Source organism: Homo sapiens, chromosome 13 (assembly GCF_000001405.40).
Source record: "Homo sapiens chromosome 13, GRCh38.p14 Primary Assembly".
In the NCBI taxonomy this organism is placed as follows: domain Eukaryota; kingdom Metazoa; phylum Chordata; class Mammalia; order Primates; family Hominidae; genus Homo; species Homo sapiens.
The window spans coordinates 51,451,422-51,472,253 of NC_000013.11; the positions used below are offsets into that span (position 1 = coordinate 51,451,422).

General features: G+C 44.0%; 1 protein-coding gene, 1 long non-coding RNA gene and 2 pseudogenes across 10 annotated transcripts in view, besides 9 other annotated features; 3 read left to right on the forward strand and 1 right to left on the reverse strand.

Annotated features, from left to right (window-relative positions):
- INTS6 (integrator complex subunit 6) overlaps positions 1–1,615 on the reverse strand; it is a 118,632-nt gene extending 117,017 nt beyond the window's left edge. For 8 of the 9 annotated variants that reach the window (XR_007063673.1, XR_007063676.1, XR_007063675.1 and 5 more), the window contains exons 1-2: positions 994–1,615; positions 557–634 (exon numbers count right to left, since the gene is read on the reverse strand). Coding sequence is in view for 4 of the 9 variants with exons in the window: in XM_011535040.4 (XP_011533342.1) it covers positions 557–634; positions 994–1,104 (189 nt within the window). In the remaining 5 variants the exon portion in view is untranslated. The remainder of the gene's footprint in view (positions 1–556; positions 635–993) is intronic. The other variant, NM_001039937.2, reaches the window with a different exon arrangement.
- Positions 151–200: a silencer, noted in NCBI's record as "silent region_5367". NCBI's record gives its function as "represses an Ori minimal core promoter by ATAC-STARR-seq in GM12878 lymphoblastoid cells {active_cell/tissue: GM12878}" and the evidence as "EXISTENCE:reporter gene assay evidence [ECO:0000049][PMID:35858748]".
- Positions 261–420: a silencer, noted in NCBI's record as "silent region_5368". NCBI's record gives its function as "represses an Ori minimal core promoter by ATAC-STARR-seq in GM12878 lymphoblastoid cells {active_cell/tissue: GM12878}" and the evidence as "EXISTENCE:reporter gene assay evidence [ECO:0000049][PMID:35858748]".
- Positions 491–630: a silencer, noted in NCBI's record as "silent region_5369". NCBI's record gives its function as "represses an Ori minimal core promoter by ATAC-STARR-seq in GM12878 lymphoblastoid cells {active_cell/tissue: GM12878}" and the evidence as "EXISTENCE:reporter gene assay evidence [ECO:0000049][PMID:35858748]".
- Positions 641–760: a silencer, noted in NCBI's record as "silent region_5370". NCBI's record gives its function as "represses an Ori minimal core promoter by ATAC-STARR-seq in GM12878 lymphoblastoid cells {active_cell/tissue: GM12878}" and the evidence as "EXISTENCE:reporter gene assay evidence [ECO:0000049][PMID:35858748]".
- Positions 771–1,040: a silencer, noted in NCBI's record as "silent region_5371". NCBI's record gives its function as "represses an Ori minimal core promoter by ATAC-STARR-seq in GM12878 lymphoblastoid cells {active_cell/tissue: GM12878}" and the evidence as "EXISTENCE:reporter gene assay evidence [ECO:0000049][PMID:35858748]".
- Positions 1,281–1,540: a silencer, noted in NCBI's record as "silent region_5372". NCBI's record gives its function as "represses an Ori minimal core promoter by ATAC-STARR-seq in GM12878 lymphoblastoid cells {active_cell/tissue: GM12878}" and the evidence as "EXISTENCE:reporter gene assay evidence [ECO:0000049][PMID:35858748]".
- Positions 1,601–1,650: an enhancer, noted in NCBI's record as "active region_7773". NCBI's record gives its function as "activates an Ori minimal core promoter by ATAC-STARR-seq in GM12878 lymphoblastoid cells {active_cell/tissue: GM12878}" and the evidence as "EXISTENCE:reporter gene assay evidence [ECO:0000049][PMID:35858748]".
- Positions 1,771–1,970: a silencer, noted in NCBI's record as "silent region_5373". NCBI's record gives its function as "represses an Ori minimal core promoter by ATAC-STARR-seq in GM12878 lymphoblastoid cells {active_cell/tissue: GM12878}" and the evidence as "EXISTENCE:reporter gene assay evidence [ECO:0000049][PMID:35858748]".
- INTS6-AS1 (INTS6 antisense RNA 1) lies at positions 1,924–3,295 on the forward strand. Its single transcript, NR_103812.1, has 2 exons — positions 1,924–1,997; positions 2,582–3,295. It is a non-coding gene; the product is annotated as an INTS6 antisense RNA 1 (long non-coding RNA).
- Positions 2,061–2,380: a silencer, noted in NCBI's record as "silent region_5374". NCBI's record gives its function as "represses an Ori minimal core promoter by ATAC-STARR-seq in GM12878 lymphoblastoid cells {active_cell/tissue: GM12878}" and the evidence as "EXISTENCE:reporter gene assay evidence [ECO:0000049][PMID:35858748]".
- Positions 9,084–9,959, forward strand: RPS4XP16 (ribosomal protein S4X pseudogene 16; annotated as a pseudogene).
- On the forward strand, positions 18,332–18,626 carry RN7SL320P (RNA, 7SL, cytoplasmic 320, pseudogene; annotated as a pseudogene).

The following is a 20,832-nucleotide window of genomic DNA, read 5'->3' on the forward strand; positions in this document are numbered from 1 at the left end:
CTAATCTAATACCCAAAATTTGGGTATGTGAAGGTACTAGTGGAAGCAGATGGGAGCCGGACTTAGGAAGTTAACCTGCAGCTGTCCCACCGGCCCTCTTAGGACGAATCTGACAAGACCAATCCTGGCAGCCCCGCATCTGGCTTCCGGGCCGGCCGGGCCGATTCCCCTTTAATGCAAACCGGGGCTGTGCGCGGCCGGGCCCGGCTGTCACTCCGGCTAACTTGAATAAATATCCCCCACAGTTCATTGCTGCCGCTCACGCCGCGGAGGGGAAATGTCGGCCATGTTGATAGCAGCGCCGCCGCCGCCGCCGCCGCCGCCGCTGCCGGGCCGGGCCGGGAGGGGACGGCGGTGGCCCCGCGACTCCGCGCCGCGCTAGGACGCTGCCGAGCGGGGGAGGGGGTGGGAGCCCGCAGGGAAGAGACCTCAGCGGCTGGGAGCGCAGCGGGTGGGGGAGGGGAGCATAATGAAGGGTGAATGGGGGGGCGGGGAGGGCGAGCGAGGAAGGAACAGGGAAGGGAAGGGAGGAAAGGGGGAGGGCGAGGGCTGTTACCTTGATAGCATAGGGCGGCTCTTCGAAAGTGACCAGCATATACCTGTCTCCTCTGCTGGCAGGGTCCCGGGCACGGAGCTGCGGGACGGGAGGAGGAACAGGGCGGGCGACAGGGAAGCACAGAGGCGAGGTTACGAGGCGGAGAAGGGGCGCCCAGCGGCCCCGCCGCCCCCACAGTACCGCACACGCAGCGGCCACCCCTCCACGCCGTCCCCCACACACAGATCGCTCCCCACACACCGCCCGGGGCCGGAGCCCGGGCCCCGGCCGAACCCGGCTCGCAGCGCCCGCCCGCCCGCGCGGTGGGGGAGGGGGTCCCCGAGCCCGGCAGCTCCCGCAGTCAGGTCCCCGACACCCCCGCCCCGGCCGCCCTCCCCCACCCTGCCGCCCGCGGGCCGCCGGGCCGGGGTCGCCGCCCGGGCTCGGTCAGTCGGTACCTTCATGAAGGTCTCTACCGCGCCTTTGGCCGTGTCCAGGTAGGTGGTGCCCAGATGGCTGCGCTGGTTCATAGAGGCAGACGTGTCTATCAGGAACAGTAAGATGGGCATAGTGCTGGCCGGGGACACCGGGGCCCGAGGTGGTGGAGAAAGAGGAGATGGTAGAGGTGGAGGCGCCGGTGGCGGCGACCGCCGCTACGCGGGGCGGGGGAGCACGGCCCCCGGGAGGAAAACACTGTCTGGGTCTTTCCTCCGGCTGCGGGGAGTTTCTCCCCCGATAGTTGAGAGGAAACTCCCCAGACCCAGTGCTCCCCGTCGTACCCCCGCCTCCGCCTCCTCCTGCCTGCCTGCCCGCTGGGGCGGGCGCCCAGCCGTCTGTCTGTCGGTTCGTCCCCCCCGCCTCGGGGGTCCCGTCCCCGCTCCCGGCCCCTGTGTGTGTCCCAGCGGGAGACGGGCCTGGCTCCCCACCCCACCCCCGGTACAGGAGTGGGGACCTGGGAGCTGGCGAAGAGGGGAGTGGGCTGAGGGAAGATTGGCCCTGGGGCTGTTGGGAGAAGTTTCAGGGACTCCCTCCGCACCCCGGCGGTGTCACCACTTTCTCAGCCCCTCTCGCTACTGAAGCGCTTTTCTCTCTCACACTCCGGTTTTAACTCGGGCAGGGGCTGCGGAGGCTCCGCCCCTGACACGTCCCCGAGCCACGTGATACACCGCCTCGCCGTTCTACTGGTCAGGCCCTATCCTTTCATTAGCATATTTAAACAGCTCAGGGGCGGGGGAAGCTTGTAGGCCGGCTCCGGGGACAGTTATTGAGCACGCGCAGAGGCGGGGCGTCGGGTGCGCGCGAGCGGGCGGGCGGGCCGACCCGGAGGCGGGCTTCGGGAAGGGGCGGGGCCGGACTGCGGAAGGACCGCGAGGTGGGGGCGGGGGCCGCGTCCGCGCGCGCGGGGCGGCCGCGGCGGTGAGCCTGCGCGTCAGGGCCGCCGGCCTCTCCTTGGCTGTTGGAGGTGATAGGGGTCGAGGGGAGGGAAAAAGGGGCTGGCGTCAGCCGCCCCTGTGAGGTGGCCGTAGCGTGGACGAGTAAGAAGGGTTGAGTAAAGTGGACAAACACCTGGTTAGGAGAAGAGGGCAGGCCCGCAGCCGCCCTCCGGAGGAGGACTCGGGGCCTCGCGGGCGCCGGAGGAGGTTCCTGGGCCTCGGAGGGCCGCCCCGGCGCGCCGCCCCGGCGCGAGCGGGCGCGGGCGGGGGAGGGGAAGTGAGAGGTTGTTTATGACCGGGGACTAATCTCCTCCGCGAGTCCCAGCGCTCCCTCTGGGGAGTGCGGTTGAGGGGCTGTCCTCGCACGGAGCCTCGCTCGGCCTCGGGGGAGCCACGAGAGGTGGGAGTTGGACCCGCAGCGGGCCAGGAGCCCTGTCATTGGAGGACCCGCCAAAAAGGAAGCAAACCCTCTTTTTCTTTATCCAACCCCAAATAGCTAGGGCCTAGGGGGAAGACTCACATATCGATAAATGGTTTGTTGCCCGTTTTATTCTCTGGGAAATACAACTGATCTTACCAAAGAAATAACCTGTCTCTTGCCGTGTTTACTTAGAGCCATAGAATACCTGTTTCAGAGCTGAAGGGGACCTGAGCCCATGATAATCCATTACCTCGTGAGAAAGCGGAAAAACTGACTTCAGCTTGCCCAGATGGCGCAGAGAATGGGTTTCCCGTAACCCCGCCTGTGTCTTTCCTTCAGCCTCGTCCCAAATGCCGTGGGAGGGAAGGCACTCTCTGTCAAGCTGCTGTCACCTTACCTGAAGTAAGGAGTCCACGCCTGCATGTCCGAGGAAAACAGTTTTCTCAAACACATTAGTTGAAAAACTGAAGACGCTGCCTAAAATACAAGCTGAGTTAGAGACAGCCCTTGTAAGACTAGGTAGGTATTTACAGGGCCTCTCCCACTAGCTTTGTTTTTCCAGAGTTTGTTCTTTATCCGGAAATTCTTAATTTGCCTACTGATCATTTAAAGAAAGGGTTCTATTAACATTGACACAGAAGAGACACTTTGTGGCACTTTTTAAAAATCTGAGTCTCGTGACTTGGTATAACTTCTGAAACTTACTGTTAATTTATAGCAGAGCTATTTGAGTAATATGCTCTTCTATGAGTATGAACAATAGAAGAAGTGTGATTTTTAAAGTGATTTGGACTACAAAATAAGAGCATGGAATATAGGCTTTACAGCCAGTACTTGCTGAGGATGTACTGTGTATTAGGTGTGGTGCATATAAAAAATAAATAAAATGTGGTCCCTGTCTTCAAAGAGCTTATGTTTTCTAGGAAAATGCTACATATTACTAGCTACTCCAAGGCAGAAAGTTGTTAGACACCAAATCAGAAAAAATAAAAATGTATTACCTTGGGGTGATGCAGGAACATTTTCCAAGGTTTCAGCTTTGCCTTAGTGTTTCTTAAACGGATCATAGATCTGAAGATAAGAATCAGAGTTCTATGGCAAAATACGAGTTATTTTACCAGTTATAAAGATGAAATTTGTCTTTCAACTTGATCATTTGCATAATTTTATACAATTGCTCTTTAGTTCTTTATATTTGTGCTTTTCAAACTGGTCTGTGGACCCCAGCCTACTGAAAACATTCTCTAGGATCATAAGAATTTATTTTAGGAGTCTGTTCATTATTCAGTTTTAAGAAACACTGTCTTAAAGGACTGGTAGGATTTGGATATGGGTAAAGGAAGGGGAAGCTGCTAGTGAAAAGATCTTCCCGACATTGAAAATGTGAAGAAAGGAAGTTAAGACAGCATTGCTGAGGGCTTCCTGAGGAACAGTGAAGTTCAGCTAGGTTGGAGCAACAGGTGCATGTAGAATAGTACAAGATCTAGAAACACAGGTGAGATCTAGACAGTAGAGGGCCTTTATTCCAATCTATGGAGGTTTTTTTTCCCCTATAAATTGGAGATTTATTTTTCAATTGCGTTGCTAAGTAGAAGCAATGTTTGAAAGAAATCAAACTAGACTACTGAAGATTAACATGCGTTCACAATGACCTTACCTATTATTACAGTTATTCGAAATCATTTTTCAGTGGAGCCATTGTCACAGGATCCTTGGAGTGTCACTTTTCCAGCTGGAAAAATGGCACCTCTGCCCGAATTTTGGTCGGGCTCATTCTGCCCACCAGTCCCAGCAGGCTGCACTCTGCTCATACTACGGCCTGGATCCCACACCTGCCAAGTGCAAGCCAGGTGCGGAGCAGCGAGGGGTGTGTGAGCGAGCAAGCATGGGGTCCGGCCACTGTATACAGCCCGGCATGCCAGCTGCAGGAGGGCGGGCAGCTCTAGGGGCTGGCCCCTTGCAAGGCTGTGGCTGGTCCAGGTGTACTGCAAGCAGCTTCCACAGCTGGCACCAGGGAATGCAGTGGCACCTGGAAGCTTGGAGATGCCAGGAGCTGCAGAGCCCCAAAGAGGTTGTCACAGGGAGCTCCTAGGTCTAGGCTTCCTAAAGGGCCACAGCTCTTCTCTCCTCTCTTCCCCCTTCTCTTTCCTTTCTTCTTCTCTTCTTCTCTCTTCTCTTGTTGTGTTGCCCACAACATGGCAAGCAAGGGGCATATTTCAGCCCGTTTGTGTTACAGCTCTTTCAGCCATGCCATTTGGCAGGTCCCGAGTTATTGTCCCACATCCAGGAAGAATGAGGTATGTGGACAAGTGGAGGGTGAGCAAGGCAAAGAGGTGCTTTGTTGAGTGACAGAACAGCTCAGAGGAGACCTGAGGGCAATGAGTAGCTTCTTTCTGCAGGCAGGTCATCCCAATAAGTGTCCAGCTCTCAGCAGAGAGGAGACCCACAATGGGTAGTTCCTCTCAGCAGGCAGGTGGTCCTGTCATCTGCTCAGCTCTCCACAGAGGAGACCCACAGTGTCCATAGACCCACAGTGGGTAGCTCCTGTCTGCAAGCAGGTCATCTCATTGTCTGCCCAAGTCTGGTTCACTCCAGGGTTTTTATGGGCTTCTGAGAGGAAGAAGTGTGTGCTGATTGGTCCATGGCGCAGCCATGGGCAGGCCTGGAGAAAGCACCATAAGTTCTCACTCCGTTGCATGGAACTGGCAGCCTGACCCCTGGCGTTACCGGGGACCCACCCCTTTCCGCCCAGGAGCCTGTGTGGATCCTGCTGCCATTAACCTGCCATCCACAGTGCCCATGGCGCCCAGGTTGTTCATGCTAAGTGGTACCTACAGGCCTTCACTGAGATGTCCTTATTCCCGCCTCGGCCTGCCTCCCTCCTGTGCTCATCAGCACCCAAAGTCCAGAGGGGACTGAGGCAGCATGGGGCTTGCGTGTCAATGCTGCCCCAAGCACGTGCACACCTGGTCGGGTCGTGACAGCACCCAGGCTTAGTCACAACTTTGCTCTGAAATCAGAGCGGGTGCTGGGAGCGGGGAGAGGCCAGGCAGTGGGAGCAGGCACTTCCAAGCCTGCGGGAGCAGGGAGCTTCCTGGTCCCCTGAGAGTGGGTCTTCTCTCTGTGGAGAGCTGAGAAGATGACGGGATGACTTGCCTGCTGAGAGGAACTACCCACTGTGGGTCTCCTCTCTGCTAAGAGCTGGACACTTATTGGGATGACTTGCCTGCAGAAAGAAGCTACCCATTGCCCTCAGGTCTCCTCTGAGCTGTTCTGTCGCTCAGCAAAGCACCTCTTTGCCTTGCTTACCCTCCACTTGTCCGGAGATGAATGGGTCCACAACCATGACTGGGTGGCTGCAGCTGCACTCAGGAGGGCAGGACTCCCACTCTTCCAACTTGGAAGCGGGCAGGGCTTCTGCCTGTTCCCAGCTCTTGCTGGCTCCATAGAGCACCGCCGCGGCTGTAGCCGTGCCTCCCCGATTATAGCCAGCGTCAGGGCAGCAGCCACTTCAGACGGGCTGCTGCCATCATCACCATCATGGCTCGCTCTTCCCTGACTCGATGGTGTTAGCAGGTTGTCATACTAGGGTCATAAGTGAAAGTATGTAGTAGAGATAGGGTTAGATGCAAAGGTAAGGAAAACCAAGTCCAGTGAGCCAGCCATAATCAGAACCTATGCTTATGATGATGACTTCTGAGATCAGAGATTACATGTCCAGTTCAGAAGTCCAGACATAGTGGAAGGTGAGGCGATGAGGCAGACCAGGAAAGAAATGAGGACATACATAGGCGGTAGTCAGAAACTAGGAAGCATTGACAAGCAGTCCCTAGACAAAGTTGTGAAATAAGCCAAGTTTATTATTAGTGACTCTGGTTGACAGTTTAGCTATTGGTGGATGATAGCCTAAAGCAGTGGTTATTAGCCAAGAAATGCACATCGGCATCTCCCATAAGGCTTAAAAAAATAATGTGCCAAGTGCCCATCCCCAGAGGAAAGGAATTCAGTAGATTTGAGATAGGCCTTGGTCATTTCATTTTTTTTTTAAAGTTCTTCAGGTGAATCTTATACATAATTCTGATTAGGAACCACATGCTTAATGTATAAGAATAATGTATGTACCTGGCATCTAGTAGTACTCAGTAAATAACTTAAAAAATTCACAAAACTTTAGAGTTAACTGCATTTTTAAGTAGAACTCCTAAAATAAATCTGCACACTAGAGGAAAAAAAAAAAACCCTGGGTGATCACCAATATATTTAACAATGGATTTGTATCATATGCATATTTATGAATTCAACTATGTTTTGCAAAAAAGAAAAAGAGAAAACCAAATACTGCTGGAGATTCCCGCTCTTCCCTTAGTGAGCTTAGGCCCTGGAGTGAGCAAAAGATGAAAAACATGAATCTCTTCTTCACTCAACTTCTATCTGTGATTCTAGAAAGATTCTGGTTATATTCAGCCTTATTTTTCTAAAATGTGGCCCCCAAATGCAAGACAAGTATTTCACCAGACTCACCTGAAGAAACAGTGAGCTCTTGCAGTGCTAGAGAGAAAACTAGTTAGAGTAGTCTGTGCTGAGCCTTGTAATGTTACAGTCTAAAGAATTAGGGAAGATTTTTCTGGGAGGGCAATGGTCAGAATAGGTATATTGGAGAAAACTTCATCTTTGCTGCTGCTTTTAAAGGAATGTTTTCTTAATGCTCTTGCTCCAATTTAAAAGGGCATAAATAAATTATATGAAAACTTTTGAAAGAATGGTGACCCTGGCTTAAATAATAACCTAAATTGTTGAAATGGAGCTATTCTAACAGAATTAAAACTGATGAATTAGATTCATTTGTAAGAGCCAACCAGAGCCCTTTTAAATTATTTTAAACCAATTAAGCAGGGTAACACAGTTTAAAAATAATTATGTGCCAATGACTTGGTTTATGATATCTAGATGTGCCATCTGAGCAGAATAATCAGATACACTTAGTGTTCCTCATATGTAACCTAACAAAGTTTCTTTTAGCTGTCTTACCATTTCCTCAGCGCTCTGCTATACTACTCTCTTTGAGATCACATTAGTCAACGATATGGAGAGGTTGAGAACATCAAATAACATATAAAAGTTATAAGCATAAAAAAATTAGATGCGAAACTGTCCAGCCAATGTAATCAGTTAATACATATCTAAGGAAATTTAATTTTGGTCATACTAATGTTACATCAGCCCTCAAAAGAAAATGCTGGTAGAGATGACTATTAAGAAGAAATTAGATCTTTCCAATGAATGGTGTTTCACAGTAATAGTTGAAGTCTCAGACAATTCAAGATCAGCCCTGAAAAGGGGTACATCCAGATTGACAATTAGAATCAAAGTGGAACAGCAGAAGAACATGAACATTGCAGTCATTCTTTCAACTAATATTAATTCCACACCTAATATATGACAGCCACTGTGTTAGGTCCTCAGAGAATTTATAATCTAGTGGAAAGACAAGACAGATAACAGATAATGAGAATACAATATTATGATGTCAGCAGACCCCAGGCATAAAATAAGATGACTTATAGGGTTCGTTTGACAATTTGAGGTAACATACCATATTTTATCAATTTTAAGACCATGAGTTGTAACAAACACCATTATTTTTGGACCATGGAGGGGGCCGGAGGGAAATGCTGCTACTTAAACTATGACACATAGAATTTTTCCACATTGTATTGAATTCTGCTAAGAGCATTAGTGATGCAACATTTTTTAAAATAATATTCCACTATTATCTTTGGGTTTTTTTTGCAAGCTGTTGGGGTCCATTCTATGAGTTTCAATGCTGGTGCTTTCTTATTGCAACTCAGAGGTATCAATGAAGGGTTTTCAGATCACAACCAGGATTTAAATCCTTTCTTTAAATGATTAGTTGACTGAAATGTCAAGGGTTTGCAGTTGTCTAATCATGCCACCAGGAATAACCAGGAAGTTTGCACATGTTCAGGCTAAGACAACTACATCACAACTACCTTCTGGTGACAGCATTGTAAGACACCATGATTGTAAGATGCCATTCCAGTTTTAGAAATATTGGAAAGATGTACATCTTAGATTTGGCAAAATATCATTTATTGCTGGCAGCTATTAAAATATGTGTTATTAGGAGAATGTACAAAGAGCACTGTGAGCACTGAGGATAGAGCACCTAACTCTCACAAAGGAAGTGATATTTGGGCAGACAGAAGTCATGAGGATGCATGAATGGGTAAGAAAGGGCAGTTTCGAGCTGCAACTACATGTGTGGGAGAGTGGTAGGACCGGATGCTGGGCCATGTCAAGAAGAGTTTCATGTGCTCAACTAAAAAATTTTTGAATCTTATTATTTGGGTGATAGACAAAGTTTTGGGGTCAGGGAGTGACCCTGATGATATAATTTGGCTATATCAAATCTCATGTTGAAATCTGATCCCCAATATTGATGGTGGGGTCTGGTGGGAGGTGATTGGATTACGGGGACAAGTCCCTCATGAATGGCTTGGTGCCATTGTCTGAGGATTGAGTGAATTCTCACTCTTTGTTTCTGCAAGGTCTGGTTGTTAAAAAGAGCCTGGGACCTTTCTCCCGTTTCCCTCTTGCTTCCTCTCTCGTCATCTGACATACCACTCTCTTTCCCCTTCCACCATCATTGGAAGCTTCCAAAAGCAGAGGCTCGCTCTTTCCTTGCCTAACGCAGCCATGGCTTGTGGTCCCAAGAAGCATCTGAAGTGAGTAGCAGCTCCAAAGCACTGGATGCTGGATAAATTGACCAGTATGTTTGCTCCTTGTCCATCCACCAGTCCCCACAAGTTGAGAGTGTCTTCCCCTCATCATTTTCCTAAGGAACAGACTTAAGTATGCCCTGGAAGGAGATGAAGTAAAGAAGATTTGCATGCAGCGGTTTATTAAAATTGATGGCAAGGTCTAAACTGATATAACCTACCCTGCTGGATTCATGGAGGCCATCAGCATTGACAAGACAGAAGAGAATTTCTCTCTGATCTATGACACCAAGAGTCTCTTTGCTGTACATCATATTACACCTGAGGAGGCCAAGTACAAGTTGTGCAAAGTGAGAAAAATCTTTCTGGGAACAAAAGGAATCCCTCATCTGGTGACTCATGATGGTCGCACCATCCGCTACACTGATCCCCTTATCAAGGTGAATGATACCATTCAGATTGATTTGGAGACTGGCAAGATTACTGATTTCATCAAATTCGACACTGGTCACCTGTGTATGGTGACTGGAGGTGCTAACCTGGGAAGAATTGGTGTGATCACCAACAGAGAGAGGCACCCTGGATCTTTTGACATTGTTCACATGGAAGATGCCAATGGCAACAGCTTTGCCACTCAACTTTCCAACATTTTTGTTATTGGCAAGGGCAACAAACTATGGATTTCTCTTCCCTGAGGAAAGGGTATCCGCCTCACCATTGCTGAAGAGAGAGACAAAAGACTGCCAAACAGAGCAGTGGGTGAAATGGTCCCAGGGTGACATGTTAGATCTTTGTACGTAATTGAAAATAATGTGGCAAGATTAATAGCAAAAAAAGAAAAAAAAATCAGAGTCTTATGCCAGGCATGCATCTTGTACAGCCTGCAGAACCATGCGCCAAGTAAACCTCTTTTTCTTTTTTTTTCTTTTTTTTTTTTTTTTTTGAGACAGAGTCTCTCCCTGTTGCCCAGGCTGAAGTACAATGGCGCTATCTTGGCTCACTGCAACCTCCACCTCCCAGGTTCAAGTGATTCTCCTGCCTCAGCCTCCCAAGTAGCTGGGATTACAGGCACCCGCCACCATGCCCAGCTAATTTTGTATTTTTAGTACAGACAGGGTTTCACTATGTTGGCCGGGCTGGTCTAGAACTCATTACCTCAGGTGATCTGCCCGCCTCAGCCTTCCAAAGTGGTGGGATTACAGGCGTGAGCCACAGCACCCAGCTTAAACCTCTTTTCTTTATAAATTACCCAGCCTTGGGTATTCTTTTATAGCAATGCAAAACAGACTAAGACACCCAATAATCAGATTCTTATTTTAGAAAGATAAATTCAGTAGTGATTTGGAGAATGGATTAGAATGAGAAGACAGTGGGCAAGGAGACGAGTTAGACAATTTCTTTTTTTTTTTTTTTTTAGATGGAATCTCATTCTGTAGCCTAGGCTGGAGTGCAGTGGCACAATCTGGTCACTACAACCTCTGCCTCCCAGGTTCAAGCAATCCTTGTGTCTCAGCCTTCCAAGTAGCTGGGATTACAGGCATGCACCACCACACTCAGCTAATTTTTGTGTTTTTAGTAGAGATAGGGTTTTGCCATGTTGCCCAGGCTGGTCTCAAACTCCTTGACTCAAGTGACCCACCCTCAGCCTCCCAAAGTGCTGGGAGCCACCGCGTGAGCCACAGTGCCCAGTTGACAATTTCTGCATTAATCCACAGAACACATAAAAGCACTGTGGAAGTGGCAACAGGGAAGGTGAGAAGAGGATTATCAAAGACATTGTGATGATAGAATGGACAGGACTTGGTGAACTGAGTTGATGCAGGCAGAATCATGATATTGTGTGATTAAAGCCATCTTGTGTCATATAAGGTGAATATCATCAAGCTACTGATAATTGTAAATTCTAATAAGATGTATAACTCATTTCTAAAGGACAAATGGTGTTTATTCAGTCATTTGCTTAACAAATATTTATTGAATGTCTACTGTGTGTAGGAGCTGGGAATGTAGGAATGAATAAAACGGGAAATAATGCCTGTCCTTATGAAGTTTACATTCTAGTGGGAGAGGTAGACAAGTATAATATGTGGTATATTCACGTTAAGTGTTAAAGAGGAAGAATAAAGCAGGGAAAGGAAATGAAGTGCTGCAGAGGGAGGTTTGGAGTTTAAGACATGGAGAACGGAAAGGCGTCACTGAGGGTGTCAATGATGTTTCAGTAGAGAGTGGACAGAGCTGTGCAGATACCTCAGGAAAACCCAATTTTATCTATTTATTTTACTGGAGTGCTGTAGTCTGAATGTTTGTGTCCTATCAAAATTCATATGTTCAAATCCTGACCCCCAAGGTGATGATATTAAGAGGCAGGACCTTTGGGAGGTGATTAGGCAGAGACCTCATGAATGAGATTAGTGCCTTTATAAAAGAGGCCTGGGGGAGCTCAGTCACATCATGTGATGACAGAGCAAGAAGGCACCATCTACAAACCAGGTCCTCACCAGACAGCAAATCTGCCGGCACCTTGATCTTCGACTTCCTAGTCTCCAGAAGTATGAGAAATTTCTGTTTTTTATAAACAATCTGGTTTATGGTTTTTTGTTTTGTTTTGTTTTGTTTTTGACAGAGTGTCGCTCTGTCATCTGGGCCAGAATGCAGTGGCGCGATCTCGGCTCACTGCAACCTCCACCTCCCAGGTTCAAGCAGTTCTCCTGCCTCAGCCTCCCAAGTAGCTGGGATTACAGGTGCCTGCCATGACGCCCAGCTAATTTTCTCGTCTTTTTAGTAAAGACGGGGTTTCACCATGTTGGTGAGGCTGGTTTCGAACTCCTGACCTCAAGTGATCCACCCGCCTTGGCCTCCCAAAGTGCTAGGATTACTGGCGTGAGCCACCACGCCTGGCCAGTTTTATGGTATTCTGTAATTGCAGCCCAAACTGACTAAGACGTGAAGTTTAGGTAAACATTTGCAGTTTGCTATGCTGATATTGAAGTATTATCTGTTGGTAAATATTCTTTGCTGATACTTAATAAGTATTCTTATTAATAACAAGTATTAATAATATGTATTCCTCACTAATGCTTAATACAAATCCTTACTAATAGCAGTATTAGTATTAATTAGTATTAATCAGTATTCTTTGCCAATAAGGGTTCTGACAGAAAATCAGTTGTTCATTAAATATTATTGAGATACTTCTTGATCTTATAGTAGACAGGTACTGTTTTAGATTCTGGGGATTCAGTCGTAACTGAGATAGATGTAATCCCTACCCTCAAAGGGTTGCCAGAGAAAACACAGGACTCAATTGAATTGGAATTTCAGATAAAAAACACATAATTTTTAGTATAAATATGTTTATGTGATACTTATACTGAATATACCATGTGATATTTGGAATATACTTATACTAAAATGTACACTAAATGTGTTGATAACCTGAAATCCAAATTTAACTGGGCTTCCTATGTTTTTATTTGCTGAGTCTGGCAATTCTATGCCCTCACTACGCTTATAAGCTAACATGCTGGAAGCAGAGATTTGTAAATACAAATAGCATACAGTGAACAATGCTGTATAACCTGGGGAGCCATAAATTAGAAGGCACTGGGACCCTAAATGTATGGAGAAAAACTGTCAGCCAACCAGGAACATCCACCCTTAAAGCAAGAAATAAACTTCTGTCGTATTTGAGCCATTATGTTTTGGAACCATTTGTGCCATGGTCTATTTGTTATGCCAGCTTAACCTAACTAACAATATGTCCTGAAATCTACTATCATTTCCAAATTTACTACAGAATCAAAAGTTTTAATATAATATACCAACAACTAATAAAATATATGTAAATAAAGGCAACAGGAAGATGGGGCAAACCCTAAAAATGCTTATGCTGTAGTCATCATTCTATTAACAATATAGCTTTAAACCTAAGTATTTTCAAAATGGTCATGAGGGACATCAGATCATTTTAGGAAAATTACATAACTCGATGGCTTCCCTAAGCAACTAATACTACACATTTATACATTATTCCTGGCGATTAAAACATTTTCTTTCAGCTAATTATCGAATGTAAAGACAGGTTTTGTAGGCTCTAAAATTTTAATTAAGACATGGTTTTTGCCTTCAGAAAGTATATGGCCTAATAGAGGAAATAAGGATACAAAATACTAGCAGAATATGATCAGTGCCAAAAGATATGTGCAAATTATATCTCTAATTGGAGTGAGAAATTCATTCAGATTAGAGGGGATTAAAAAGAAGCTGAATGAGGAAGCATTTTTTCCCTCAAAGCTTTACAATTTTCTGTCTTTTGAATTTAAAAGTAGAGCTTATTGTCAAGAATTTGCAAAATACAAATAGAGAAAAACAAATATCACTTCTAATCTCACTACCCAGAGATAGCCACTAATAACATTTTTGTATGTATTCCCTCCTTTATGTTTTAAATAAAATTGGGGTCTTATTATCTATTCTTTTTTTCGTGTTTTTCCACTTAACATAAGGTGAGCATTTTTCATATCATTAAATAATTTGTAAAAATATGACTTTTTCATAAATGCATAATTTATCCCATAGATGTATTGTGATTTATTTTCCTGTTAAGACATTTTGTTAATGTCTAAATGTTTTACTTTTATAAATAATGTTGCATTGAACAGCCCTATACATAGATATTTGTAATAATTCAACTACTATTTTTTGAACACTAGTTACTGCTCTGAATGTTGGAGATACATTAGTGAACAAACAGTCCAAAGTCCCTGCCCTCATGGGGAGGAGGAAAGAGAGACAATAAGGATGTAAACTATAAATTACATCAAATAGTGATGAGTGCTCTGGAGAAAACTAAATCAGGGATGGGGAATAAGAAGTGATGATGTAGGGGCCTTGGGATTATAGTTTTAAATAGGATGGTCAGGAAAGAATGATAAAATGGCATTTGATCAAATACCTGAAGGTGGTGAGGCAGCAAACCAGATGGATATTGGAGGAAAACATTCCAGGCAAAGAGAAGCATGTAAAGACCCTGAGTTTGGAGTGGATCTGGCATATTTAAGGAACAGCAGCAAGCAGGCCAGAATAGCTGAAGCAGAGTTCATAGGAAAGCTGTAGGAGGTGAAGAAATCCAAGAGGAACTTCTGATGCTAAGTGGAATTTGGCCTCTATGCCCAGAGATAGGAAAGCATTGGAGGGTTTTGCACAGAGGGCTATCTGACCATTTTGGCTATTCTGTGAAAGTAAACTATAGAGGGTAGAAACAGGGAAAGTCAGGAGGTTATTGCTGTAATCCAGGTGGGCAATGATGTTGGCTTTTAGACAGTGGGGATAACAGTAAAGGTGGTGAGAAATGGGTTTTTATTGGCTTAGTGTGGGGTTTGAGAAAAAGGAGTCAGGGATGACTTAAGGCATCTCCAGTTCCTTAGGATAAATGTCAAGAATGGGAATTTATTAATGCATTTTTAGAGCTCTTTATACATATGGCCAGATTGTTCACCTGGAAAGTTTAGTTTATATTTGCAGTATTCTCCATGAGAAAACAGTTTATAAAAGTTTTTGAGAAAGAGCGTTTCAGCTAGAAATTTTTAATAGCTTTGCAAATTACTTAAGCCTTCATAGAGAATTATTAGATATCTGAACCAGTCACTTAAAGCTTGCATGTATATGTTACTACATTTTAACCAGGAAAATCTTTCTGATAGAGTTTACCAAAGTCCAGGTGTTTCCCTTTTGAGCCTGTACTATTGAAATAACTAAAACATGGAGTGGGATTTGATAAATGCCAAAAAAAAAAAAAAAAAAAAAAAAAAAAAGAGTTCCAAATACTATGAGGAGCATTTACCCAAGAGAAAAGGACAAGAAAGAGGAACTTTATAAATTATTAGAGAAGAGGGTATAGAACCAGGGACCTGACTTCTCAAAGCAAAGAGAAAAAAAAATTTATCTTTTGCTCTTAGAAAAGCAAGTAGGTTTTTTAAAAAATTACCAAAACATCAAATGAAGCAAAGACTAAGATGTTAGATTAAGAAAGCCATTGTTGTCTTCTATAAGTCTTTTTTTTTTTTTTTTTTTTTTTTTTTGAGACGGAGTCTCACTCTGTCTCCCAGGCTGGAGTGCAGTGGCGCATCTCCACTCACTGCAAGCTCCACCTCCCGGGTTCACGCCATTCTCCTGCCTTAGCCTCCCACGTAGCTGGGACTACAGGTGCCTGCCATCACGCCTGGCCAATTTTTTTGTATTTTTTTTAGTAGAGACGGGGTTTCACGGTGTTAGCCAGGATGGTCTCGATCTCCTGACCTTGTGATCCGCCCGCCTCGGCCTCCCAAAGTGCTGGGATTACAGGCATGAGCCACCACTCCTGGCCTATACGTCTTTTTAGTGGAATATAGATACAGAAGAAATAAGGTAAATTAGATCACTAGGAGTTGTAGTGAATGAAGTCAGAGAATATATAACTTCTCTTTTTGCACAAAAAAAGATAAAGGAAAAACTCTAATATGTTTTTAGGTAGAAAAAGAGCAAGGAAAAACTGAGGCTGTGAGAAAGGTATAATTGGTATGGCAGGTCTCTGGAGCAGGAGAGGACAGGGTCAGCTTCATAGATGGGGTCATTAGGATGTGAAAGATGGAGCAATGACTTCTCTGAGACCAGAAATAATAACAAGAATACAAGCAAAGTAACTAGCACAATTCCCAGTGTGATGGTTAATTTTATGTGTCAACTTGACTGGATCACAGGATACCCAGGTATTTGCTCAAACATTATTCTTGGTCTGTCTATGAGGGTGTTTCTGGATGAAATTAACATTTGAATCTATAGACTGAGTAAAGCAAACTGCCATCCCTAATGTGGGTGGACCTCACGCAATCAGTTGAGGGCTAAATAGAACAAAAAGGCTAAGTAAGAGAGAGTTCCTTCTGCCTGACTGCCTTTGAGCTGGAACATTGGTGTTTTTCAGGCTCAAACTGTAATACTGGCTCTTCTCAGGTCTTGAGCCTACTTGCCTTCAGATTGGAACTTTACCATCTGCTCTCCTGGTTCTCAGGCCTTCAGGGGAGTCTAGAACTATGCCACTGACTCTCCTGGTCTCCAGTTTTTCAACTTCAAATCTTGGGATTTAGTCTCGATGATCATGTGAGTCAATTCCGTATAATAAATCTCAGACAGATAGATAGATAGATAGATAGATAGATAGATAGATAGATAGATCGATAGATAGATCTATCTTTCATTGCTTTTGTTTCTCTGGAGAACCCTAATATAACCAGTATTTAGTAAATGTTTAATGTGTGTTGAATGACAATTATAGAGGAAATCAGAAGTGGAGAGGATGTATGCAGAGGGAGCTGTGAGAAGTGGACAGCTGCCCACACTAACCAGTGAGACTAAAGACCCAGCCAAGTTCTTCAGGGAGATTGCTTTGGTAGCTATGGGAATAATATGGACAAGCAAGCAAGTCATCTGGACTCTTGATGGGCTGAGATGCCACGCTGGCAAGCAGGTGGTCAACCTCTAGGAGATTCAACAAGCATGCCTGTGAGGGTTCAGAGCGCTGTGTCAGGAATGTGATGGGAAGTAACAGGCAAAGGCAAAATATTACTGGTATTAAGGAAATGGCGTTAAAGAAAACGGACACTTCACTGTCTACTTGTGTCAGAGCTTCCCCATGGTCATTTAATCTAACACGCCTGTAAGCTAAGTGTTCCTACTTTTTCAGAAAAAGAAATGGAAACTAAGTAACATGAATTAACATAGTCCAGGGTCACAAAGCAACATGGAACAAGAACCTGGATCTGAATTCAGAGGCAGAATGCTGGGTAAGTATGACGATGCTTATTGTTGGCCCACCTGTGGGAATTGGGGGTTAGGGACAGGTTTCCCAACCTTGTGATGACTATAGGAACCGGGATTCAAGGGAGACACAGGCATAAAGGAAGATGTCAGGGAGACCATCAACAAAGTATCATGTAAGGCAGGAATTTGCTCACAGGAAAATGGGAAGGATAAAAGGGGACGTTAGTGAGAATGTCATTTTAATATTCAGTTCACTAATCTCCAAAGACCGATGTTCTAAAAGAAAGTGTGAATAAAATAGTTTAACATCTTATTATGCAATATCTATCACTGATGATAGGCACATAAGGAGTTCTCGTTACATCTACTTAATTTGCCAGATTAACTGATGCTCCTTGTTCCTTCTTTCTTTACTTTTTCTTTTTAGAGATAGGGTCTTGTTCTGTCGCCCAGGCTTGGGTGCAATGGCATGATCACAGCTCACTGCAGCCTCGAACTCCTGGGCTCTAGTGATTCTCTTGCCTCAGCCTCCCTTGTAGTTGGACTACAGGTACAAATCACCATGTCTGGCTCTTGTTCTTTAACACATGCTTGTAGCTCAAAACTAGTAGAATTCCCTCTGATACATTTGTGAACCTCTGCTCCTACTACAAGTTTTATGCTACTGAAGTCAGTTGCCTTTTTCTCAAACCTGCTTATACCAATTAAACTTGTTATTGAAATTAATTAATTAAATAGGTAAACCAGTGAAATATGAAACAAAAGTCAGTCACTAAAGAAATTACTGGCAAATTAAGTATAAGCAAAACAACTGCAAAAGTCTCGAAAAAGTGAGTAGAAATTTACAGATATTTTGTTGGCAAATGAAATACATTTGTAGTTTAAGTTAAAATTTAAAATTAAAGATATGTATGTATCATTTTTAAATTTCTCTGTTTAAATTGACTTTTTCCCTTCACCAATCACAATATCAGTGTTGGATAAGGGAACTTTCACTATATCCTGTGTTGTATTTGTATGGTACTTTTGATCATTCTTTTAATAAAAGCACAATCTATCTAGAAAAGCAAAAATAAAGACTGGAGTCCATGTTCTTTTAGTGACTCCATTCAGCACTTTCATGTGAATTCTCAGTACTGCATCTATTACTACATATCTTCGTAAACTGTTCCTCTAACTCTTAGGGAGAATATGATTCTTACATACTAAAGTTTGTATCATGAACATTTATGGCTCACTTGTATTCACAAGATTATGAGGAATTATGCATTCAGGAGCAGGTTAGGTTGTCATCATCATTGTTTTTTCATGATAAGCCAATGTGTACAGCATGTTAATAGTTTTCTCTGTAAGGAATCTTAGAAATAGTTGAGTGCACTTCTCTAGTATTAAAAACGAGTAAATGGACAGGCATAGTGGTGTGCACTTTTAGTCTCAGGTACTCAGAAGGCTGAGACAGGAGAACTGATTGAGCACAAGAGTTCTGGGCTATAGTGTGCTATGCCAAGTGGGTGTCTGCACTAAGTTTGGCATTAATATGGTAACCTCTCGGGACAGGGAACTACCAGGTTGCCTAAGGAGGGCTGAACTGGTCCAGGCTGGAAATGGAGCAGGTCAAAATTCCCATGCTGATCAGTAGTGGGATGGCACCTGTGAATAGCCACGGCCCTCCAGCCTGGGCAACATAGCAAGACCCCATCTGTCTCTAATTTTTAAAAAATGAGTAAACTGAGAACTAGGGTTAAATAAACTTGCCCAAGGTAGAAATTTATTGAAATAAAATTAAGGGAAATGTTTATATAGCCCTTAACATTATGTCTTCTCCATGATATATAACACTTTAAATCCAAGGATCTCAAAACACTTTTAAATCAGATCATTAATTCTTCTGATATCTATGTATCAAATTATTCTGTTTTCTACCAGCTGGTTGTCCCTTGTCAGACTAAAAGTCAACATTTTCTTTGTGGATGAATCAATTGAGAGTTGCATTCATCTGGGAATAACAAGGGTTCACCTGAAAAACGAGGGTTATTTTTATCACATATGTCTGAGGTAGTCAGTCCAGGCCTCATCTGTCCACTGTGTACTTCATAATGTCATCAGGAACATTAAGCTTTCTCTGTTTTCTTGTTCAGCCATTCTCAATATGTGTTTGTCAACTCATAATTACCTAATTCACCTCAAGTATTGTAGGTTTGGTTTGGTAGAAGTAATAGGAAGGAGAAAAGAAAGCATGCCAGCTGAGCTGGCCTTCCTTTAAAAAAGAGATTTTTCTGGCTCACACCTGTAATCCCAGCACTATGGGGAGGCCAAGTTGGGTGGATTGCCTGAGGTCAGGAGTTCGAGACTAGCCTGACCTACATGGTGAAACATCATCTCTACTAAACATACAAAAATTAGTCAGGTGTGGTGGTGGGTGCCTGTAAGCTACTTGGGAGGCTGAGGCAGGAGAATCGCTTGAACCCAGGAGGCAGAGGTTGCAGTGAGCCGAGACCGGGCCATTGCACTTTAGCCTGGGCAACAGGAGCAAAACTCCGTCTCAAAAAAAAGAAAACGAGATTTTCTAGAACTGTGCCTAAGTGTCCAACTATTGATCTGATTTGCCAACTATATCACGTGGCCATTTCCATTTGCACAGGAGGCTGGGAAATGTAGTTTTTGGCTGCACATATGGCCACCTCCAACCAAACTGAGGCAATTAGTAAGGAAGGCGAGGATAGGTGTCGGGCGACTGGTGATCTTTGTCACTGCAGGGCTGTTGCCAAGATTAGAAAGAATGCATGTGTGGTTCCTGGCTTATACCTGTCATCTAGTAGATGCTGAAGAACAGGGAGCTCTTATTTTGTTAGAAAAGATAAAACAAGTGGTAATGTTTCCAAATTTCTTTCATAGTAATTGTGCAGTGTTTTCATACATGCAATGAATTCAATGTGGTAATAAGATAACTTTTACTAGAAGAACAAATTTTTACTAAACTGCCATTTTGCACTAAAATACTGGTACCACAACTTTTAAAAACTAATTTGATTAACCAGATTATCATTTGAACAATGGACAATGAATGTGCACTACAGTCTCAAAAATTTTAAAATATAAGTAACTTTTTCCTCTACTTGTGTTTTATGAATTGGAAAATATTTGTTTATTGTACAGTCACATAATGATGTTTCCATCATGGATGCACCACATATACAACTGTTCCATAAGATCATAAGGGAGCTGAAAAATTCTTAGGGCCTAGTGACATCAGTTGTAATGTCATAGAACAACAGCTTACTCATATGTTTATGGTGATGTTGGTGTAAACAAACCTACTATGCTGCCAGTCATATAAAAGTAAAGTATATACAGTTATGTACATTACATAATACTTGATCATAAATGACTGTTACTGGTTTATATATTTAGTATATTAAACTTTTTACCATTATTTTAGAGTATGTTCCTCTATTTATAAAAAAAGGGTTAACTGTAAAATAACCTCAGGCAGCTCCTTCAGGAGGTATCCAAAGGCATTGTTATGGTGGGAGATGACAGCTCCATGCCTGTTATTGCCTCTGAAGACCATGCAGGACACCATGTGGAGATAGAAGACGGTGACATTGAGAATCCTGACCTTATGCTGGCCTAGGCTAATGTGTGTGTTTGTGTCTTAGTTTTTAACAAAAAAGTTTATAAAGTAAATAAATAGAAAATAGCATATAGAATAAGGATATAAAGAAGGGAAATATTTTTGTACAGGGGTACAATGTATGTGTGTTTGTTTTTTCTTTTAGGGGGTTTGTTTTGTTTTTTTGAGACAGAATCTCACTCTGGTTGCCCAGGCAGAAGTGGCGCCATCACAGCTCACCGCAGCCTTGATTTCCTGGGCTCACGTGATTCTTCCACCTCAGCTTGCCGAGTAAT